Here is a 21,425-nt window from a genome sequence, read left to right on the forward strand (position 1 = left end):
TCATCTCCGCCCCCGGTGCGGCGGGATTTGGAATCCAGAGCCTAGGCTCCGCCCTCTCGTTACCCTGGCTCTAGGCCCCGCCTCTTTCCGAGCCCTACAACCAACCAACCGTAGAGTCCAGGCCCCGTCCCACTCACCCTTCTGCCGTACCGAGCACCAGACCATGCCCACTAGCACACATATGATCAGAAACACCAGCAGCGCCAGGATGCCGCCCACAATGGCATAGGGAACCGACGTCTGAGCCTCTACCACCGCACCAGGGTCTGCCAGAGGGACACGGCACAGGACCAGGTCATCAGAGGACGATCCCAGTCTGGCCCCATCGCTGCCAAGCTTTTAAGCCATTCTGCACACGTCTAACCGTGCCCTTTTATGTGCCACACCCCTCAAAAATTACTGCCACCTTGTAGTCTCTTCTCTTTCCAGATGCTTGTTGGTTTGTACACTGCCCGACCCCTCCCCTGAGTCATGTTACATTTTCCTTTTCTTTTTCTTGTTTTCTTTTGCAGAGACGGGGGTCTCACTATGTGGCCCAGGCTGATCTTAAACTCCTGGGCTCAAGCGATCCTCCGGCCTAGGCCTCCCAAAGTACTGGGATTAGAGGCGTGAGCGACCGCACCCAGCCATCCCTTTTCTTTTGACTCAAGTTTCTTCCTCCACTAAGAAACAGAGTCCAAGAAACAGGTCCAAGTCCCTTCCCACCTTGTCTAAAACGCTCCAAGTATTTAAAGTGCTGGGCCCAACTACCAAAATTTCTGCCCCACCGTCATAGAGCTAAACACAGAACAGCTGTGTGCTAGAGCCCATTCCAACCACCTTACATATTTAGTTCACATAATCTTCACAACAGCCTTGTTATATAGGTGCTATTGTTTATTTCCACTTTACTGATGGGTAAACTGAGGCGCAGACAGGTTCGGTTACCTGCAATAGAATGCAGCCAACCCGAATTTGAGCCCCGCGGGCCAGTCTGGTCCCAAAACAAAAAGAACTCTGTTGGCTGCCGAACCCCTGAGTTATGTGGCCTCTTTGCTCAAGCCCCGCCCCCGCCACCTGGCGCCCCGCCCCCGCCCTCAGTCGGCCGCAGCCTGCTCTCACCGTAGACCACAAGTACGTAGAGCGCCCTCGCATGGCCGTGCTTATTGGACGCCTCGCAAGTGTAGGTGCCGTTATCCGCGGATACCAGACCCGGCAGCGTGAGCGTCTCTCCCACGGCCTCCGCCCTCTCCGGCAAAGACTCATTCCCGCGGTTCCAGCGGATCTGGTTTGGCCTGGGTGGGGATAAAGTATAGTGAGAGTTAGGAACCGAGGTGCCAGCACCCAATTCTGACTTGTCAAGAATCTAGACATGCAACTCTCATCCCGCAGGGACCTCCAAATAAGAGGCTTCCTGCTATCTCTTTCCTTTCTGGAAAACCAACAGTCCTGGGCCTACTTCCACCCATCACCAAGGTCTCAGGAATTCTAGCCCAGGCTGAACATGGTGGCTTATGCCTGCAATCCCAGCACTTTAGGAGGCTGAGACGGGAGGACTGCTTAAGGCCAGCAGTTCCAGACCAGCCTGGGCAACACAGGGAGACCCCGTCACTACAATTAAAAAATAATAATAATAATAATAATAATTCTAGCCCTCCCACGCCATTCCATCCTCAGCAACCAGGAGTCTGAGGCTGCACAGCTTCAGTATTGGGGAGTCTGAGCCTCCAGATTCCTCCTCCCTCAGGATCCAGGAGTCCAGGTCCCAGATCCCTATTCGTCCAGGTCCCCAGCTCTCTCCTCCTCAGGACCCAGGAATCCAGGTCCTAGCTCCCTGTTTGTCCAGGTCCTCAGCTCTCTCCTCCTTAGGACCCAGGAGTCCAAGTCCCTGGTCCCTGTTCTTCCAGGTCCCCAGCTTTCTCCTCCTGAGGACGCAGGAGGCCCCCAGAGCTCACCTGGGGTTCCCCGTGACAGCACACGTCAACACCAGCGTGTCTCCCTCCCTCACCACAGCTTGGGAGGCATGAATCCGGGCCGTGGGGGAGTCTGTTAGGCAAAAGTAAGAGGAGAGAGTAGTTTCCAAGCCATCACGCAGGACAAGGGGGACCCTCGCGGGTGCGGGTGGCTGGCGTTGGGATCCCTTGGGTCCTGGCCCGCCGGTCACTTACACTGCACATCCAGCACGTACTGCGTCTGCTTGCTGTGTCCGGAGGGCAGCGCCTGGTTCTGCGCCTCACAGATGATGATACCACCGTCGTCCTTACGGTCCACACGAAACCGTACTGTGCTTGCCACGCTCCAGACCTTGCCATTTTCCTGGCTGCTGCTCACTCCTGCCACACCCCGGTCAGACACTGTCAGGCCACAATTCCGGCTCCATCCACCCACCCACCCGAGCCAACGCCAAAGCAGGCTATTTGCCAAGCTCCACCCCTTACCCACAGGCCCCGCCTCTTGTCCTCCAAGCTACGCCCCTCCCCTAACCAAGCCCACGTGCCTCCTCCCAAAGCTCTTCCCTCTTTCACGCTCATGCTTTCTCGTCTATCAATCCATTTAATTGCTATATATATAAAAACATAAATTTATATATATACTTAGAGACAGGGTCTCACAATGTTGGGCAGGTTGAACTCCTGACCTCAAGCAATCCTCCCATCTCAGCCTCCCAAAGTGCTAGGACTACAGGCGTGAGCCACCGCGCTCGACATCAACCACTACATATTGAATGTCCAGTGTCTGTGAAAACCTGTGGCTCCTCTCCACATATAAACAACCTCTCCTAAGTCCCACCTCCTCCCCATCCCTTGTCAGCACTCGGCCCAGGGTACCTTTCAGCTCCTTGCGGTCCCGGTACCAGCGCAGGGTGGCAGCCGGACGGGACCGCGGAACGAGGCAGCTGAGCTCCACCTCGCCGCCCTCTACCGCCTGCTCCCGGACCTCCACCACAGGATTCTCTGGGGCCACTGCCGCAGGGAGAAGGGAAGTAAGGGGTTAAAGAAGGCACGAACGTGGGCTCAAAGCGATCGAGCTGCCTGTTCCCAGCGACCATAGGGAACCAGGGTCCCAGGTGGCAGGGGTCAAAGGGGAGAGGTCAGGAGCCAGATGCCCATCCAGGATGTTAAAAATAGCCATGGTCTGAAAGTCTCAGGAGAAGAGAGAAGCAGAGAAGAAAGGAGGAGAGGATGCGTCTGACAAGGGGGAGGGCGTTACCTAGTACCGTGAGCGTGGCAATCTGGTGGTGGGTGTCTTCTGTGTAGAGCTGGCAGAAATAGCCCCCCTCGTCCTCCAGGCGGGCATCTGAGAGCCGGATCCGCACCCGGCGTGGGGAGAACTCCTCAAGCTGGAAACGCTCATCCTTCAAGGCTAGAGAGAGTGAGGGGGAAGGTGTGAATTTCGGGAGTCCTGGCCTCACAAGTCCCACCCTTCCGACAGGAGCTTAGAGTCCAGCCCTCTGCCTCTTTTCTCCAGCCATATCTATGAGTCTGAGGTGTCCAACTATTTACTCCCTTGAGGACCCAGCATTATTCAAGTCCTCCTGCCTGCAGGACCAGCAGTCCGGGACCCCAGCCCTTTCTTCTCCGAGACCCAGGAGACCAAACTCTCAGGTGTGTCCTCTTTCAGGACATGGGAGCCTGGGCCCCAGCCCTCTCTTCCTTTAAGACTCCTGAGTCTGGTCCCCAGCACTCACCACGGGTGCCATTGAAGAAGAGGGTCTGCCGGGCTGGGTTCTGGATGACAACTATGGACCCATCATACTGGTGCAGACGGCAGGTGATCTCAGCCACCCCACCCTCAGCCACTGTCACGTTCTCTGTCTGTACTTCCTGTCCTGCCCCTGGACGATTAGACAAAGAGACAGGATAGAAGACTTACTGAGAGCTGCAATTCAATTTTTTCTTTCTCCCTCTTCCCCATCCAAACCTCCAATCCCTCTCTTTCCCCTCATTCATTCCATTGCACTGAACATTTCCTGCAGGCTAGAGTCCAGGACAGGGAGGAAATCTGCTCCCTACTCTAAAAGAGCTGCAGTCAAGATTTAGTAGAATATGCTCTAATGAGGGCAGCACAGGGCACACTAGGAGCCCAGAGCAAGGGAGGACTATTATAGAATTGCCTAGAGAGATGGGTAGCCAGAGAGGGCTCTGCAAGAAAGCTCCATTGGATCTGGATCTTAAAGAGTAAGCAGGAGGCTGAGCGCGGTGGCTCATGCCTGTAATCCCAGCACTTTGAGAGGCCGAGGTGGGCGGATCGCAAGGTCAAGAGATAGAGACCATCCTGGCCAACATGGTGAAACCCTGTCACTACTAAAAATACAAAAAAAAAAAAAAAATTAGCTGGGTGTGGTGGTGCGCACCTGTAGTCCCAGCTACTCGGGAGGCTGAGGCAGGGGAATCGCTTGAACCCGGGAGTTGGAAGTTGCAGTGAGCCGAGATGGAGCCACTGCACTCCAGGCTGGGCGACAGAGCGAGACTCTGTCTCAAAAAAAAAAAGAAAGAAAAAAAAGAGTAAGCAGGAGTTCACAAGGTGTGGGAGACTGCTGTGTGTTCACCAAGCCTCATCTTTCACACCTGGGCACATGTTGTAGCCCGTTTGCAAAGATAGCCGTAATATTCTCCTGTCCCTGGACATGCCCTTTGCAAGTTGATTTTGCCATTCCTCCCATTGAGAAGGCACTTTGTCCCCTACTAGTCTGGGTAAGCCTTGAGAGTTGCTTTGACCAATAGAATTTGCTAGAAGTGATATTGAGCCTAGGCCTGAAGAGGCCTTGTAGCTTCCACTCCTGCCCTAAGACTGTTGCATGAAGATACCCAGACTAGTGTCTTTGCAGATGAACAATCATGGTGAAAGAGAAGCCCAGCCGGCAGCCAGCACCAATCGCCAGCTGTGTGAGTGTGGCCATCCTGGATCATCCAGCCCCAGCTGCCCCACCAGCTGACAGCAGCCACACAAGTGACCCCAGTTGAGACCAATAAAAGATCTGCCCATCTGATACAGCCCAAACTGCTGAACCCCAGAATCATGAACAAATAAGGTGGTGGTTGTTTTAAGCTCCTAAGTTGTGGGTGATCTGTTCTACTGCTAAAGTTAACTGATACAATACATAATTAGGCTATACTTCCCAGCATCCTTTATAGTTAGGTGGGGCCATGTGACCAATTCTGGCCAATGGGATGTAGGTGGAAGAGAAACACCTCTTGCAGCCTGACCCATCTCCCTCATAATCCTTCACACTGGCTGAACAGAGAGGACTCCAAGGAGCCTAGAGGAGGGCAGAATCACAAGCCAGAAGGAACCTGGGTCTCTAACTGACTGTCCCCCATGACCCGCCTGTATAGGACTGTGATATGAGCAAGAAATATACCTTTTTGTTAAGCCATTGAGATTTCAGGGGTGTCTGTTACAGCCTTTAACCTACCCTGATTAATCCATCAGAAAAACAAGGTGGGGAATCTAGAACCATCAGAGAAAAGCATTTAGGAAAGCTGAAAGCCAAGACTAATCATCAGCATTAATATCATCATCTGTTGTCTTCAAAATAACAATAACCCCCATAGCTACCAATTATTAGGTACTTGCAGTGTTAGTCCCTGTGCTAAGGGCATTACCCATATAACTTACCTTTAATCCTCACAATCCCTGTGTAAGGTAGACATGATTATTATCATTATTATTATTATTTTGGGACAGAGTATTGCTCTGTTGCCCAGGCTGGAGTGCAGTGGTGTGATCTCAGCTCATTGAAACCTCCACCTCCCAAGTTCAAGCGATTCTTCAGCCTCAGCCTCCCAAGTAGCTGGAATTACAGGCATGCACCACCATGCCGGGCTAATTTTTATTTTTAGTAGAGACAGAGTTTAGCCATATTGGCCTGGCTGGTCTCGAACTCCTGGCCTCAAGTGATCCGCCTGCCTCAGCCTCCCAAAGTCCAGGGATTACAGGTGCGACCCACCGCGCCTGGCCAATTATTATTATTATTTTTAATTTGAGACAAGGTCAGGCTGGAGTGCAGTGGCACGATCTCAGCTCACTGCAATGTCTGCCTCCCAGGCTCGAGTGATCCCACCTCAGCCTCCCCAGTAGCTGGAACTACAGGTGCACAACATCACACCTGGCTAACTTTTGTATTTTTTTAGAGACGGAGTTTCACCGTGTTGCCCAGGCTGGTCTTGAACTTGCGAGCTCAAGTGAACTGCCTGCTTCGGCCTCCCAAAGTGCTGGGATTACAGGCATGAGCCACTGTGCCCGGCCTGCGCTATTATTATCCCCATTTTGCCCGGCCTGCGCTACTATTATCCCCATTTTCCCCCATTTCCATTTTTCTTTTCTTTTTTTTTTTTTTTTTTTTTTGAGACATTGTCTTGCTCTGTCGCCCAGGCTAGAGTGCAGTGGTACGATCTCGGCTCACTGCAACCTCCACTTCCCGGGTTCAAGCAATTCTCCTGCCTCAGCCTCCCAAGTAGCTGGGATTATAGGCACCTGCCACTGCACTTGGCTAATCTTTGTGTTTTTAGTAAAGACGGGGTCTCACCATCTTGGCCAGGCTGGTCTGGAACTCCTGACCTCGTGATCCACCCGCCTCGGCCTCCCAAAGTGCTGGGATTACAGGCTTGAGCTATCGTGTCCTGCTCCCATTCCCATTTTATAGGTGAGAAAATTGGCCCACAGAGATGAAATGACTTGCCCAAGTTCACAGCCAAGAGTGGCAGTGCCAAAATCTTCGTCCAAATCTCTGATTCTGTATCCTGAATCTGTATATCCACTCCTGGCTGTCTGGATTAAGTGTCCATCATTGGCAGGGGGTTGTGAGAGCCGCTTGTGATGGGCCTCGAATGCCAACCTAGGAGATTTGCTTTCATCCTAAGGGCCAGTGAAGGTTTTGAAGCAGGAATATGCCATGATTAGATCTGGCTATTTGTCTTTAAGTGCTGGATAACTATCCATGTCTTTTACATTCAGGTGCTGGGTTGCATTCATTCAGGAGTATTTCCTGAGCATCACGTAGGTTTTCAGGGGCTGAGTAGTCAGAGATGAGTTAGATGAGGTCCCTGCCCTTTAAGATTTATGGGAAGGTAGGAACCAATCACGGTAATCAAAAGTGTTATGTGGCTGGGCACGGTGGCTCACACCTGTAATCCCAGCACTTTGGGAGGCCGAGGTGGGCGGATCACAAGGTCAGGAGTTCGAGACCAGCCTGACCAACATGGTGAAACCCCGTCTGTACTAAAAATACAAAAATTAGCCAGGTGTGGTGGTGGGTGCTTGTAATTCCAGCTACTCAGGAGGCTGAGGCATAAGAATCGCTTGAACCTGGGAGGCAGAGGTTGCAGTGAGCCAAGATCGCGCCACTGCAGTCCAGCCTGGGTGACAGAGCAAGACTCCGTTTCAAAAAAGAAAAAAAAAAAAGAAATAAATAAAAGAAAGTGTTATGTTTTCTGTAAGAGGGTAGGTAACCTAATTTGGAAGTTGAGGGGTAGAAAAGATTATTTCTGGGGGATGGAGACAGAGACTTCTGGCTTCCTATTCTGACATCCATTTTTCCCTTTCTCCTCAGTAAAAGAAAAGAACACTGGTTGTATTTTATGGTTGCACTATGTCCAGCAGAAAAAGGCATTCCTCAGTCTCCTTGCAGCAAGGTAAAGCCATCTGATAAAATTTTGTCCAGTTGGATATAAGCCAAAATGTTGCGTGACAATTTTGGGAGGACTTCCTGAAACAGGTGGACAAACCCTTTTTCTACTGAGTCACCTTTGTGCCACCTGGAACTAACAGTGTGACGCGTGGAATTTAGGCAGCCATATTGAACCATGAGGACAAGAGCAGTGGGGATGGCGGAACCAAGAGCTGGAAGGTGCCTGAGTCTCTGGTGAAGATGTGGAGCTGCTGTAACAGCCCTCAACTCCTAGTTCTGGACTTCTTTTATGTTTTAGTGTAACGCTTTGGGTATTTTTATTTTTTTAATTTATTTTAGAGATGAGGTCTCACTATGTTGCCTAGGCTGGACTCAAACTCTTATGCTCAAGCAGTCCTCCTGCCTCAGCTTCATGAGTAGCTGAAACTATAGCACTTTGGGTATTTCAGCCACTGTTTGAGGTTTTTCTAGCACCTCCTGGAATATCAAGCTTAACATGTCCAATCCTTGCCCCAGATATTTTCCTCCCCAAATTTTCTCAATCTCAATAAATGTCACCACCATCCACCTGGTTGCTCAGGTCAAAAACCTAGAAATCATTCAAGTTCTCTCCCTTTCCCTCATCCCCAATATCCATTCCATCAGCAACATCTGTCCATTCTACCTCCAAGACATATCCCAGATCTCATCACCTTTGTCTGCCTCTCCTACCCTCACTCTCATCCAGCATCATCCCTCACCTGGACTCTGCAAAAGCCTACTCGTGGGTCTGTCTGCATCCCTGTCTGCCTCCTCCAGGGCCATTCTCCACCCAGTGGCCGGATCGATTTTTCAAAGAGGTAAATCAGATCAATTCACCTTTCTGCTTAAAACCCTCCGAGGGCTGCCCGTAACATGTAGAATAAAATAGAGACCCCTTCCCGGGGACTTCAAGGTGCTATATGGCCTGGCCCCTTGCTGACCTTACTTCACTCTGGGCTCGCTAGCCTTGCTGTCCCTCAAACATGCTGAGCTCGCTCCCACCACAGGGCCTTTTCCCTTTTCTTCCTTCTGCCTGGAATGTTCTTCTCCCCACCTCCCAAGCCCCATCTTCCCAGGGCTGACTCCTGTTCCCATTTGGGTCTCAAATCATATCAGTACCTTCTCAGAGAGGCCTTCCCTCACTGCTCATCCCTTCACCTTTAGAACACTTTCTTTTCTTTTAAGAGACAAAGTCAGCCCAGTGCGGTGGCTCACGCCTGTAATACCAGCACTTTTGAGAGGCCAAGGCGGGCAGATCACCTCAGGTCAGGAGTTCAAGACCAGCCTGGCCAACGTGGCGAAACCCCGTCTCTACTAAAAAAATACAAAAATTAGCTAGGCAGTGGTAGCCCGGGCTACTCAGGAGGCTGAGGCAGAATTGCTTGAACCCAGGAGGCAGAGGTTGCAGTGAGCCGAGATTGAGCCACTGCACCCCAACCTGGGTGACAGAGAGAGACTCTGTCTCAAAAAAAAAAAAAAAAAAAAGAGACAGGGTATTGCTCTGTCACCCAGGCTGGAGTGCAGTGGTGCAATCATGGCTCACTGCAGCCTCGAACTCCTGGGCTCAAGCCATCCTCCCACCTCAGCCTCCTAAGTAGCTGAGATTATAGGCTCCTCCCACCACACCTGGCTAATTTTTGTGCTTTTTGTGGAGACACAGATTCTCCATGTTGCCCAGGCTGGTCTCCAACTCCTGGGGTCAAAGGATCCTCCTGCCTCGGCTTCCCAAAGTGCTGGGATTACAGGCGTGAGCCACTGCGCCTGGCCCAGAACACTTGCTATTTCCTCACCATTGCTTTATTTCTTCTATGAAGATTTCACTGGAATTATCAGATTAATTTGCTTATTTGTTTACTGTCTGTTTGTCACCCATGACTGGAATGTATACTCTAGGAAGGCAGGGATATAATCCAATGGGTTTACTGCTGCACCCCTAGTACCCAGAAGAGTGCTTGGCACCTGATAAGTGTCTGGGGAACTTGCTACATGAATTACATGTGTCAGATGGGATATCTGTTCGTCTTTCTTCTCTCTTTTTTCTTTCTCTCTTTCTCTCTCTCTTTCTTTCTCTTTCTTTCTTTTTTCTTTTTTTGAGATAAGGTCTCGCTCTGTCACCCAGGCTAGAGTGCAGTGGTGCAATCATGGCTCACTGCAACCTTGAACATGTGGGCTCAAGCGATCCTCCCACCTCAGGCTACCAAATAGCTAAGACTACAGAGGTGCGTAGCTATGCCCAGCTAATTAAAAAAAAAAAAATTTTTTTTTTTTTTTAGAGATGGGGGTCTCAATATCTTGCCCAGGTTGGTCTTGAACTCCTAGGCTCAAGCAATCCCCCTGCCTTGGCCTCCCAAAGTGCTGGGATTATAGGCATGAGCCATTGCAGCTGGCCCAGACAGAATCTCATTTCAGCCCGACAACTTTGTGACATCATTATTTTCATCTTAAACACCTAGGTTGATCCCAGCTCAACCACTTGCCATCTGTGTGACCTGTGGGCAAGTGACCTTACCTTTCGGAGCCTCAGTTGCCCCATCTATAAAATGGGAATGATGCCAGTGCCTGCCTCATAAGGATGAGCCCCGCTCCTGAAGCTCAGGGAGCCCTCTCTGCAAGGCTGTTTTAGTGCAACCTCCGGAAACATGCCCATGCATGTGAAAACTGGCATGCACATTCTGGTGCTTTTAAAAACATCTCGAAGCCTATCCACAGATCCTGGACCTCAAGACTGGTTCAGTGCTAGCCCCCCATTTTACAGATGTGGAGAATGAGGCTTAGCGGGTCCCAGGCAAGTCAGTGGCAAAACTCACCATCTCCTGGGAGCCATCAGGTTCCTCTGGATCTGCCCCCACCAAATTTATCCCCTGCTCTCTGCTTGAGGGTGCACATGGGGTGAGGGTGGGGGTCTTTTGTTTTACTCCCTCCCCCTCCTGAGGAGTCAGTAACCAACAGTGTCTGTGCCTGGAATATTAATGTCTCAGCAGCTTTTGTTTGGGGGGTTGGGGGTGGTGGGGGCGGGACTTTCTGGTCAGAGAGGGGCTGAGCTTTGGGGACTGAGGCACTGGCCCTTTAAACTGTGTTGACAGCCAGGAGTCGTCATGGGGATGGTGCTTGGAAAAGGGGACAGGGAGGGTTTGGGAAAGAGTGGCGGAGCAGGTAATGCGTAAGACCCAGGAATCCAGCCCCCAACTACCTCCTCTCCCAGGACCCAGGAGTCTAGGCTCCCAGCCCCTCCTCCATCAGGTTCCAGGAGTCTGGAACCCCGGCTTCTTTCCGCCTTAGACCCAGGAATTCAGCCCCCAACCACCTCCTCTCTCAGGTTCCCGAAATCCAGACCCCTAGCCCCCTTCTCGATCAGGACCCAGGAGTCTGGGCTGTCAGCAGCCCCTTCCTTCAAACCTAGGAGTCAGAGCCCCCAGCCCTCTCCTAGCTTAGACACAGGAGTCTGGGCCTCCAGCCCCCTCCTCCTTCAGGACCCAGGAGCCAGGGGTCCAGAGTACACAGCTGGTGGATGTTTCCACGGAGACTAAGCAGGGTGGGGGGAGCGCTTCCTGGGTCCTGAGTCAGCGAATACCCAAGGGAGTCTCAAGGTCATAGTTCCGGGAAGGTCACCACCACCCCCTCTGTATCCGCTCCCCAGGGGGCTCCTGGCATCCTGCCTCCTTCCCCCTTCCTCCCTTAGGGAGGTGGTACATCCCTGCGTCCTGACTGAACCCCCCTCAGCCCCCCATCAATGGCGGAGTCCGAACATCCTCGCACAAAGCGTCAATTCTTCCCCAGCTCAGCCTTGTGAAGGCGCCTGTATTCGCAGGACCTAGGCGTCAGGGTCTCAGCCCCTCCTCCCTCAGAAACCTGCAGTGGAATCCCCCGCCTCCAGCCCCTTCCTCCCTCAGGACCCAGGAGTCTGTATCCTCATCCCTTCCTCCCTCAAGACCTAGGAGTGTGGACTCCCAGCCCCCTTTTCCTTCCGGACACAGGAGTTCCAGCCCTCGGCCCTCTCCTCTCTTAAACCCAGGGGTCTAAGACCCCAGCCTCCTCCTCCCTCAAACTCAGGAGTCTAAGATCCCAGGCCCCTCCTCCCTCAGACTCAGGAGTCTAAGATCCCAGGCCCCTCCTCCCTCAGACTCAGGAGTCTAAGACCCCAGGCCCCTCCTCCCTCAGACTCAGGAGTCTAAGATCCCAGGCCCCTCCTCCCTCAGACCCAGGAGTCTAAGACCCCAGCCCCTCCTCCCTCAGACTCAGGAGTCTAAGACCCCAGCCCCTCCTCCCTCAGACTCAGGAGTCTAAGACCCCAGCCCCCTCCTCCCTGGACCCAGGAGCCTAAGACCTCAGCCCCCTCCTCCTTGAGACCCAGGAGTCTAAGACCCTAGCTCCCTCCTCCTTTAGACCCATTAGTCCAGGCCCCCAGACCCTCCTCCATCAGACCCAGGAGTCCAGGCCCCCAGCCCCTCCTCCATCAGATCCAGCCCCTCCTCTCCTGAAAACTTTTGACTCTAACTCCCCAGTCCTCAACCCCTAGAAGCACAGTCCTGCCTTTCCTCAATCCTCTGTCCCCTCCCATCTGGGGACCTAGGCATCAGGTGGGGGCGTAGGGGTGAGTCAGCAACCTCACACACAAAGTCCCCGCTGTGGCCCCCACATTCCTGGGATATTCGGGACTCCCTGGATTCCAGGCCTCAGGCCCAGCCAGGGAGTGGGGAGTCCCCCAGAGGTCCTCCCTGGGTGTGGGGTACGAGAGGAATTCCTGCTCCGGGAAGGGTGCAGGCCTGCACTGAGCTCCCTCTGTCCGAACCTCCACGCCCAGTGCCCTCTATTCACCCCCTCTTCCCAGAAGAGCCCAGGCTCAGCACCTGCCCCTTGCCCCACTGGGTGCCCACGGAGGAGCCTGCGTGCCTGCTCCCTATGGGCCTGGGGTCTGCACAGGCGGAAATCAGTGGGTGCTTCCGTTCTGATGCCACAGGCCATTGGATGCTGGCGGGTCTGACTGTCTCCAGGCCACCCCCCACCCCTCCCAGAGAGAGAAAGCTGCCTTTGTGTTCTCCAAGATGGGGACAGGCCAGGCTCGCACGACATTAACCCAGCCTTAGGCCCCAGCCCTGCTGTGTCTAAGGTCTTGGAATCCACTGCAGAACCTGACCCCCACCCCCAGGCTCTGGGGACACAGGCGCCTGGCTCATGGGTGGGTGGGTGGGGGGGTCAGTGATAGAAACCTCCAAAACCTGTTCCTTGGGGTGACTCACAATGGAGGGAGGGTCCCCCTATTCTCAAGAGTGGCTGGTCAGAATTTTAGCAGGAAAAAGTGAGTCACCCTGGGAAGGAAACATTATTTAGGGACCAACAACTGCCCCCTCCACAAGACCCCTCAACTCCTAATAGCCTCTCTATTCTTTCTTTGTATTGGATATCTGTTTCCTCTCCTCCTTTCTGTTCTACCCAGTTTCTGGCTGCGGGTCCCATTTCTGCCTGGGTGCATCCCTGGGCAGGCAACCCATCCCTCCCTCTTGCTTTCTCTCCTCTGCCCACCCTGGATCCTTCTTTGGGCATAAATCTCATCTTCTTCTGCTATGCTCAGAAGATGAATGAACCAGGAGAGAGAGAACATGTTTTTAAAATGGCGCAAATGCACCCCATCTCCCCCGATTCCTGCTGGCTGGGCAAGGTGAGAGAGGAAGAAGTGACTAAGAGAGAAATGTGGGAACAACAGATACCCCCTAAAATGTGGTAGCCAAGGCCACTGAGAAATATCCAATGGAAAGGAGAGCAGGAAGGGCCCTCCAAGACCACATGCTACAGCCTCCTACCCCATGCTTTACAGAACGGGAAAGTAAGGCCCAGAGAGGGACAAGGACTGATGCAAAATTATACTAAAGGGTCCTGGGTAAGGCTTGGACCCAAGTTCCTTAGCTCCCAGCTGAGAGCTCTTCCCATGACACCAAGCTCAGTTTCTACTGGTAAAAGCCACATACTATTTACTTTAGAGAAAGTTTACAGAGAGGGTTAGGGTGCCAGGAAGCAGTGACTTGGAAATCAAACGAGGGACAGGGCTGTAGACCTAACTCCCAGAAGCACCAGAGAAAGGCTTTTGCACGGGGCGGGTGGTCACCTTAAGCTATATTCTGATCCTGAGAATTCAAAGTCTGATGATTCTAAGCTGTCAGGATTCTAAATGTCATAGATGTCAAGATCCAGGAACTCCAAGACATCAAGATTTCACGATTTTTAAGACGTCAAGATGCTAGCATGCTAACACCATCACGGTTCTAGAACTTTAAAGGTGTCAAGATTCTAAAGCCTTCTGGATTCTAGAATCCTGTAGATGTCAGCATTCTAAAGTACCATCAGGTTCTTTATTTACTGGATTCATTAGTTCCAGGATTCTATGAGCCTGGTGTTTAGCCTAAAAAATAAAGATAAATTAAAATTGATGGAAATGTCACTGAGGTACCAAAGTTCTCATCTGGGAAATTGTGGCATGTCTGTTGTAAAGAAAGGAGGTAATGATGCAAGTTCTAAAGCAGTCACAGAAGACTAGAGAAGAAAGAAAGACAGTGAGAGGACAGCTTTGCCCCTCATCCTGGCCGAGGTGAGGATGGCTCTGCCTCAAACCCTGGAGTGGGGAACATGTAACCGCACTCAACTTGCCAGAAACCCCTTCACGGTCTGAGCTGGCGTTCCCTTTCATGTCACTGAGTTCAACATCCTCACTTTACAGAAAGAGAAACAGAAGCCTGGAGAGAGGAAGGTGTTTACCATTGGCTGCGATGGCAAATGGCAAGAGCCAAGATTTAAGCCCAGGCCGCCAGCCCCATGCCACCTGGTTATAACTCCTCTCACCAATCTCTGCCGAACACCCAGCCCTCCTGCTTCTGCCTAGCCACCTTCCAATCCTCTGTTCCTTCCAAAAGTGGCCTTATCCACCAGGGAGGGGTGACCCGTGGCAGGTTCAAGACTTACACAGTGTGAGAGTGTGTGTGGGTGACATTTCCTGACCTTGTCCCCATTCTCAGGGTCACCCAACCTCGGGGGTCTCCAGCTTCTCACAGTGTGTGATGAGGGTATGTGGATGGCTCCCTGGATGTCCTGGACAGGGGCTTCTCTGTGAGTCAAGCCTGGGTGTGTGAATGGGTGAGCAGGGTTTGGAGAGGCATTCGCTGAATCCACGTGTGTGCCTACACGCCAAGGTCCCCCATTCTCACTTCCCCACACACATGCACACAGATGTTCCCCTCCAGGGCTCTTTAGAATGCCCTGCCTGACTGAATTCCTCTTCAGGGGCACAGAGGGATAGAGAGAGGGAGGAAGGTAGGATGGGAATGGGAGATCCCGGGATGGAGGCTGTAAGCGTAGAGAGAGGAGGCACAGCAGAAAGACAGGGATGGAGATAGTGGGACAGAGAAGGGGGAAAGAGACAGGTGACAGAAAGGGTTAGAGAAACGAGTGACAGAAAGACAGGGGACAGAGACAAGGGGATGGGGCAGATAGGGGACAGAGAAAAAGGGACAGAAAAACAAGGGTGACAGCGAGACAGAGACAGGGACCAAGAATAGGGGCAGAGAGGGAGGGCAGAAATCCGGGGGAAAGAGAATAGACAGGATGATGGAGGGGACAGAGTGACCCAGGAAAAGGGGACAGAGACCAGGGGACAGAGGTAGGGGACAAAGACAGAATAGATGAGGAACACCGAGGCAAGAAGAGAGGGAGACAGACAGAAGGAGGGACAGGACTTCGAGACTGAGGGATAGAGGACAAGGGTAGGGGGACGAGGAGCCAGACGGGGGGGTTCAGAGACGGGCGGACAGAGGGACGCAGAGACTGGACAGAAGGACAGCGGGACCGGCCTGGGGAGGGCGGACTTGTGTGTGTAGGGGGGTCTCGGGCCCTTTGTCCCCGCCGGGATCCAGCCTGCGCGGGTGGGGGGGCTGCGGCACGGCGGCCGGGCCCCGCGCCCCCTCCCCCGCTCGTCGCTCCCGGCTCCCGGCCCGCGCTGCGCTTTGTCCCGGGGAGGGGGCCCGGCCCGGCCCCGCGCGCATTGTTCGGCCTCTGCGGCCCCGAGGCTGCCGGGCTGTCACCACAGCGCGCCCCCCGCCCCAGCCCGGCCGGCCGACCCCGGCCCCCGACCCTACCTGGCCCCGCCGCGGCCGCCCACAGCAGCAGCAGCGGCCACTGGAAGCGCCGGGCCCGGCCCATGGTGCCGCCGCCGCCGCCGCCGCCGCTCGCTCCCGGCCCGGCACCTGCACCGCCCGCGCCGCCCGCCCCGCCCCCCGCGCCCCGCCCCCTGCCCGCCCGGGGGCGGGGCGCCGAGGCCGGGGCGGGGCCGGGGAGGGGAGGGGGAGACGGAGGAGAGGCCCGGAGACAATCGGGGGGACGGCACGGTGGGGGAACGGTGCGGGGTGCGAAAGCTGGAGAGGAGAGGGGTGAGGAGGGCGGGAAGGGGTGCGCGGGAGGGCGACAGCGGCGTGGGAGCAGGTGGGGGATCTCGGTGAGCGCGGGAAATGGAGGGTGTTGGGTGAGGGTGCTGCGTGCGGGCCCAGGTGCTGCGCGCGAGGGTGCGGAGTTGCTGGCATGCAGGGTGCTTGCGCTGCGCGGAGGGGAGGGTGGCAGGGTGTTGCTGGAGGCTGTGCGAGGGTGGGGGCGCGGGCGTCGTGGGGTGCGGTGTGTGCGAAGGGAGAGCGTGGCCAGCGTGACGGGGGAGCGTAAGGGAGGGAGTGCGACGTGGGAAAGGTGAGTGTGAGAGGCGTGCTGCGGGCAGGTGGGTGTCTGGAGTCTAGCGAGAGGCTGTGAGCTGAGCCACCGGGACAGGGGAGGCTGCAGCTGGAGGTCCGGAGGGTCCGGAGGTCGAGGCAGGTCAAGGATCTCCCAGGGCAGGGCGAGGCTGGGGCTCAGGAGTGGGGTGGGGTCAGTTCCCTCCCTCCCTCTCTCCTGTCCTGACCTGAAAACCCCGTGTTTCCGCGTCATTCTCCGGGAGGGGCCCCCTGAAAGTGAACTAACTGGAAGGAAGCCTGAATCCTGGGTCCCAGGAGGGAGAGGCTCCTGTGAACACCTTCCAAGCCCTGGCGTCCCCTCTCCTCCCTGCTGTCTCCCTGCCCCAGCCTCTCTCCCTCTCTCTGCATGTATTTGCCTCTGCCCTTCCTCTCTCCCCATCTTTGAGGGTGACTCACCCCTCCAGACTTAGGTCCCTTCTCCCTCCTGGGAGTGGGTTTCCCTGAGCCCACTTCTGTGACACCCTGTAGACCTGATGCGGGATCATTACCTATGGGACCCAGAAAGAGTGAGAAACCATGGAAAGAAGGCCTCGACCTCTCTCATGCCCATTTGTCAGGCAAACTGAGGTCCAGAAGTGCCAATTATGAACATCTTTCCTTCCCCCCTCCCCCCTCCCCGCCCAGACGGAGTCTCGCTCTGTTGCCCAGGCTGGAGTGCAGTGGCACGATCTCGACTCACTGCAACCTCTGCCTCCCAGGTTCCAGTGATTCTCCTGCCTCAGCCTCCCGAGTAGCTGAGATTACAGGCGCCCGCCACCATGCCTAGCTAATTTTTATATTTTTAGTAGAGACGGAGTTTTGCCATGCTGGCCAGGCTGGTCTTGAACTCCTTACCTCAGGTGATCCATCTGTCTGGCCTCCCAAAGTGCTGGATTACAGGCGTGAGCCACCATGCCTGGCTGAAAATCCTTACTTTTTATTCCGACTAAAAAATTTTACATCCAGTCCCACAAGGGACTTCAGCTTCACACACCCTTTCTGTCCTCAGTACCCAGCTCCCAGTATCCTTTCTGACCTCAAAACCATAGCTACCATCAACCCTTGTGTCCCAGGACCATGGCTCCCAGTGTCTTCTCTGTCCTCAGGGTCCAAGCTCCCATCAACTCCTGTGTCCTCAGGACCACGGCTCCCAGCATCCTCTCTGTCCTTCAGGTCCAAGCTCCCATCAACCCCTGTGAAGCAGGACCATGGCTCCCAGCATCCTCTCTGTCCTCAGGGTCCAAGCTCCTATCAACTCCTGTGTCCCCAGGACGATGGCTCCAGCAATCCTCTCTGTCCTGAGAGCCCAAGCTTCTAACTGCCCCTGTGTCCCCAGATCCATAGCCCTGAGCAACTTCCTTCTTTTTCAGTCCTCAGCTTCCCAGCTTCTGTAGACTTGGGAAGAGATAGTCTCTAATCCTCTTTCCAGGGCTCACATTCTGTGACTTTTGCTAGATGGGAGAGGAATGTTTGATCTGCCTTTGGAATACTGGTCCAAGGGGTAACTAGTAGTTGCCTTTTCCCGCAGGAGCCAATAGGCCCGCTCACTCTGTGCTCTGACAGATGTCTCCTGCTCCAGCTGAAGGGGAACCTTGGGAGATGTTGGTTTGGTTCTCACCTGTCATCCTTAAGTCCCACCATTCCATGTGAAGACATCACAAGAGTAGTGGTCCTGACGGGCGCGTTGGCTCACACCTGTAATCCCAGCACTTTGGGAGGCCAAGGTGGGCCGATCACTTGAGGTCAGGAGTTTGAGACCAGCCTGACCAACCGGCCAACATGGTGAAACACCATCTTTACCAAAAAAAAAAAAAAAAATTAGCAAGGCGTGGTGGCACGTGCCTGTAATCCCAGCTGGTCGGAAGGCTGAGGCATGAGAATCCCCTGAACTTGGGAGGCAGAGGTTGCAGTGAGCTAAGATCATGCCACTGCACTCCAGCCTGGGTGACAGAATGAGACTCAGTCTAAATAATAATAATAATAATAATAATAATAATAATAATAATAATAAATAGAATAGTGGTCCTGTCCCCATCCTACTTCAGGGTACCCTGTCCATTAGGGATTTAGTGCAAGTGACAGCAAGTGCAACCCAACTGGTTTGAGAGAAAGAGAACTGGTTCACACATAACAAAAAGTCCTTCTATGGCTGGCTTTGGCGAGGTCTGTCAATCTCTGTCCTAAGGATGCATGGCTCCCCTCCTGTAGCAAGATGGCTGGCAGATACCCCTGGGGCCAGATTCATATTTGGGGTGATTAAGATTCTGCAAGAGAGAGACAACCTTTATTTCACACAGCTTTTCAATTGTTGCCTGTCCCTGGTGAGACTCGGAGACCTAGCTCTTGCCTGGTTTCTAAACTTTCAATAACACCGTTTTTGCTTAAGTCAGCACAAACAGATTTTATTTCTTGCAAGCAAAGATTCCTGAACAACAACTTCAGAGCCGTTAACAATGAGGTCCTGATCACAAGCTATGGTATAGGACGTGAGAAATTTGTCCCTAGCCTCAATATCTGCTGGAGGGCATCATGGAATAAGTATTTCTATCCTCTGATCCCCACTGTAGGGCATCATGGGATATATAATCCTAACCTTCAATCTCTGCCATAGAGTTTCATAGGCAATGCAGTCCTAGCCTCAATATGTTGTAGGGAATTATGGGAAAGGTGAAATTATCCTCAATTATAATACAGAGCATCTCAGAAAATGTCGTTTTAGCCTCATCTCTGCTGTAGGGCATCATGGGAGATATACTTCTGGCCCAATTTTTGTTGTAAGTTGCCATAGAAGATGCAGTCTTTCCTTCCTTCCCTTTTTTCTTTTCTTTCTTTCTTTCTTTTTTTTTTTTTTTATTATGTAGAGACAGGGTCTCTCGCTATGTTGCCCAGGCTGGTCCTGAACTCCTGGGCTCAAGCAGTTCTCCTGCCTTGGCCTCCCAAAGTGCTGGGATTACAGGCAAGAGCCATTGCACCCAGTCCCTTCTCTCCTTTCTTTCTTCATCACCTGCCATATTCCAGGCACTAGGAATAAATCATCAAGTAAATAAACGGCCTTACCCTCCCTGGCAATTATAATGGGGAAAGTTAGCTAAAAACAAACAAAAATTACTGTTCCATTTAACCATCGCTGAATAACAAAATACCCCAGAACGTAGTGGTGTGAAACAACAACCTTTTAATTTTATGATTCTGTGAGTCAGGAATTGGAGCAGGATTGGTGTGTATCTGCTTCATGATGAACTGGAGCCAAAAATGAACTAGCTGGAACAGCTGGAGATGGAGGGGAGGGGCATCAAGGGCCATATATCTAAGGCTGGTGGTTGGTGTTGTGGGTTTTGAATAGTGTCCTCCAAGTAAAATATATGTTGAAGTTCTAGCCCCTGGTATCTGTACATGTGACCTTATTTGGAAATAAAATCTTTGCAAATGTAATTCACTTTTTTGTTTGTTTGTTTGTTTGCTCGAGACTGAGTCTCGCTCTGTCACCCAGGCTGGAGTGCAGTGGCATGATCTCGGCTCACTGTAACCTTCACCTCCTGGGTTCAAGCGATTCTCCTGCCTCAGCCTCCCAAGTAGCTGGGATTATAGGCACGTGTCACCATGCCCAGCTAATTTTTGTATTTTCAGTAGGGACGGGGTTTCACCATGTTGGCCAGGCTGGTCTCGAACTCCTGACCTCAAATGATCTGCCACCTCAGCCTCCCAAAGTGCTGGGATTATAGGCATGGGGCACTGCATCCTGCCCAGATGTGATTAACTTCTAACCCCTGGTATCTTTGCATGTGACTTTATTTGGAAATAAGGTGGGTTTTTTTCTTGTTTTTTTTTTTTTTTTTGAGACAGTTTCACTTTGTCGCTCAGGCTGGAGTTCAGTTGCATAATCTCAGCTCACTGAAACCTCTGCCTCCGAGGCTCAAGCGATCCTCCCGCCTCAGTCTCCCGAGTCACTGGGACTACGGGCAAGCGCCACCACACCCGGCTAATTGTTGCAGTTTTTGTAGAGATGGGGTTTTGCCATGTTGCCCAGGCGGTCTCCAATTGCCACCCTCAAGCAATTCATCCGCCTCGGCCTCCCAGAGTGCTGGAATTATAGGTGTGAGCCATGGCGCCCGGCCAGAAAGTCTTTGCAGATTTAGTTGAATTAATGACTAAATGTTTCCATGCTGAGTTAGAGTGGGCTCTAAATCCAATGATTGATATGGGGTTATAAGGAGAGATATTTGGAGACATAGCCACAGTCCCAGGGAAGGTGGACATTGGAAGACAGAGGTAGGGATTAGAGTGATGCAGCTACAAGCCAAGGAATGGCAAAGATTGCTGGCAGTCCCTCAGAAGCAAAGGAGAGGCAAGGAAGGGTTCTTCCCCTGAGACTTTTTTTTTTTTTTTTGAGACGGAGTCTCACTGCTGTCAGCCTCAGCTGGAGTGCAATGGCGCGATCTCGGCTCACTGCAACCTCTGCCTCCCAGGTTCCAGCAATTCTCCTGCCTCAGCCTCCCGAGTAACTGAGATTACAGGCACCCGCCACCATGCCTGGCTAGTTTTTGCATTTTTAGTAGAGATGGGATTTCACCCTGTTGGCCAGGCTGGTCTCGAACTCCTGACCTCAGGTGATCCACCCGCCTCGGCCTCCCAAAGTGCTGGGATTACAGGTGTCAGCCCCGGAGACTTTAAAAGCATGGCTCTTCCCCTGACGCTTTAAAAGCGTGGCTCTTCCCGTGAGACTTCAACACCTTGGTTTTGGACATTTAGCATTCAGAACTGTGAGAGAACAAGTTTCTAGTGTGTGTGTGTGTGTGTGTGTGTGTGTGTGTGTGTGTGTGTGTGTGTATGTGTTTTAGACAGAGGCTCATTCTGTTGCCCAGGCTGGAGTGCAGTGGTTCAATCTCGGCTCACTGCAAACTCCGCTTCTCAGATTCAAGTGATTCTTATGCCTCAGCCTCCCAAGTAGCTGGAATTACAGAGGAGCGCCATCACAGCCGGCTATTTTTTTTTTTTTTTTTTGTACTTTTAGTAGAGACAGGGTTTCACTGTGTTGGCCAGGCTGGTCTCAAATTCCT

The 21,425-nt window shown here is 52.9% G+C and overlaps 1 protein-coding gene and 1 long non-coding RNA gene across 8 annotated transcripts in view, besides 3 other annotated features; one reads left to right on the top strand and one right to left on the bottom strand.

Annotated features, from left to right (window-relative positions):
• Positions 1–88: part of an enhancer, noted in NCBI's record as "H3K4me1 hESC enhancer chr19:44127716-44128216 (GRCh37/hg19 assembly coordinates)", that runs on past the window's edge. NCBI's record gives its function as "activates a minimal SCP1, AML or CMV promoter by ChIP-STARR-seq in primed H9 embryonic stem cells {active_cell/tissue: H9 hESC(primed)}" and the evidence as "EXISTENCE:reporter gene assay evidence [ECO:0000049][PMID:30033119]".
• Positions 1–11,042, top strand: part of LOC105372411 (uncharacterized) — a 15,958-nt gene extending 4,916 nt beyond the window's left edge. Inside the window, exons 1-4 of one of the 4 annotated variants that reach the window (XR_001753943.2) lie at positions 3,337–3,584; positions 4,808–5,011; positions 7,532–8,448; positions 10,084–11,042. This is a non-coding gene — a long non-coding RNA (uncharacterized LOC105372411). Of the gene's footprint in view, positions 1–3,336; positions 3,585–4,425; positions 5,012–7,531; positions 8,449–10,083 lie in introns of those variants that run through there. The other 3 variants (XR_007067263.1, XR_001753942.2, XR_935978.3) reach the window with 3 other exon arrangements.
• The window catches only part of CADM4 (cell adhesion molecule 4), a 19,617-nt gene extending 1,609 nt beyond the window's left edge, over positions 1–18,008 (bottom strand). The window contains exons 1-8 of one of the 4 annotated variants that reach the window (XM_017026452.1): positions 17,987–18,008; positions 3,668–3,814; positions 3,190–3,342; positions 2,808–2,942; positions 2,148–2,312; positions 1,935–2,025; positions 1,102–1,274; positions 138–266 (exon numbers count right to left, since the gene is read on the bottom strand). In XM_017026452.1, the coding sequence (XP_016881941.1) occupies positions 138–266; positions 1,102–1,274; positions 1,935–2,025; positions 2,148–2,312; positions 2,808–2,942; positions 3,190–3,342; positions 3,668–3,814; positions 17,987–17,993 (1,000 nt within the window). In that variant the 5' untranslated portion in view covers positions 17,994–18,008. Of the gene's footprint in view, positions 1–137; positions 267–307; positions 928–1,101; positions 1,275–1,934; positions 2,026–2,147; positions 2,313–2,807; positions 2,943–3,189; positions 3,343–3,667; positions 3,815–15,750; positions 15,875–17,986 lie in introns of those variants that run through there. The other 3 variants (NM_145296.2, XM_047438387.1, XM_005258620.3) reach the window with 3 other exon arrangements.
• Positions 89–589: an enhancer, noted in NCBI's record as "H3K4me1 hESC enhancer chr19:44128217-44128717 (GRCh37/hg19 assembly coordinates)". NCBI's record gives its function as "activates a minimal SCP1, AML or CMV promoter by ChIP-STARR-seq in primed H9 embryonic stem cells {active_cell/tissue: H9 hESC(primed)}" and the evidence as "EXISTENCE:reporter gene assay evidence [ECO:0000049][PMID:30033119]".
• Positions 15,758–15,897: a silencer, noted in NCBI's record as "silent region_10725". NCBI's record gives its function as "represses an Ori minimal core promoter by ATAC-STARR-seq in GM12878 lymphoblastoid cells {active_cell/tissue: GM12878}" and the evidence as "EXISTENCE:reporter gene assay evidence [ECO:0000049][PMID:35858748]".

This window comes from Homo sapiens, chromosome 19 (genome assembly GCF_000001405.40).
Source record: "Homo sapiens chromosome 19, GRCh38.p14 Primary Assembly".
NCBI classification, from domain to species: Eukaryota; Metazoa; Chordata; class Mammalia; order Primates; family Hominidae; genus Homo; species Homo sapiens.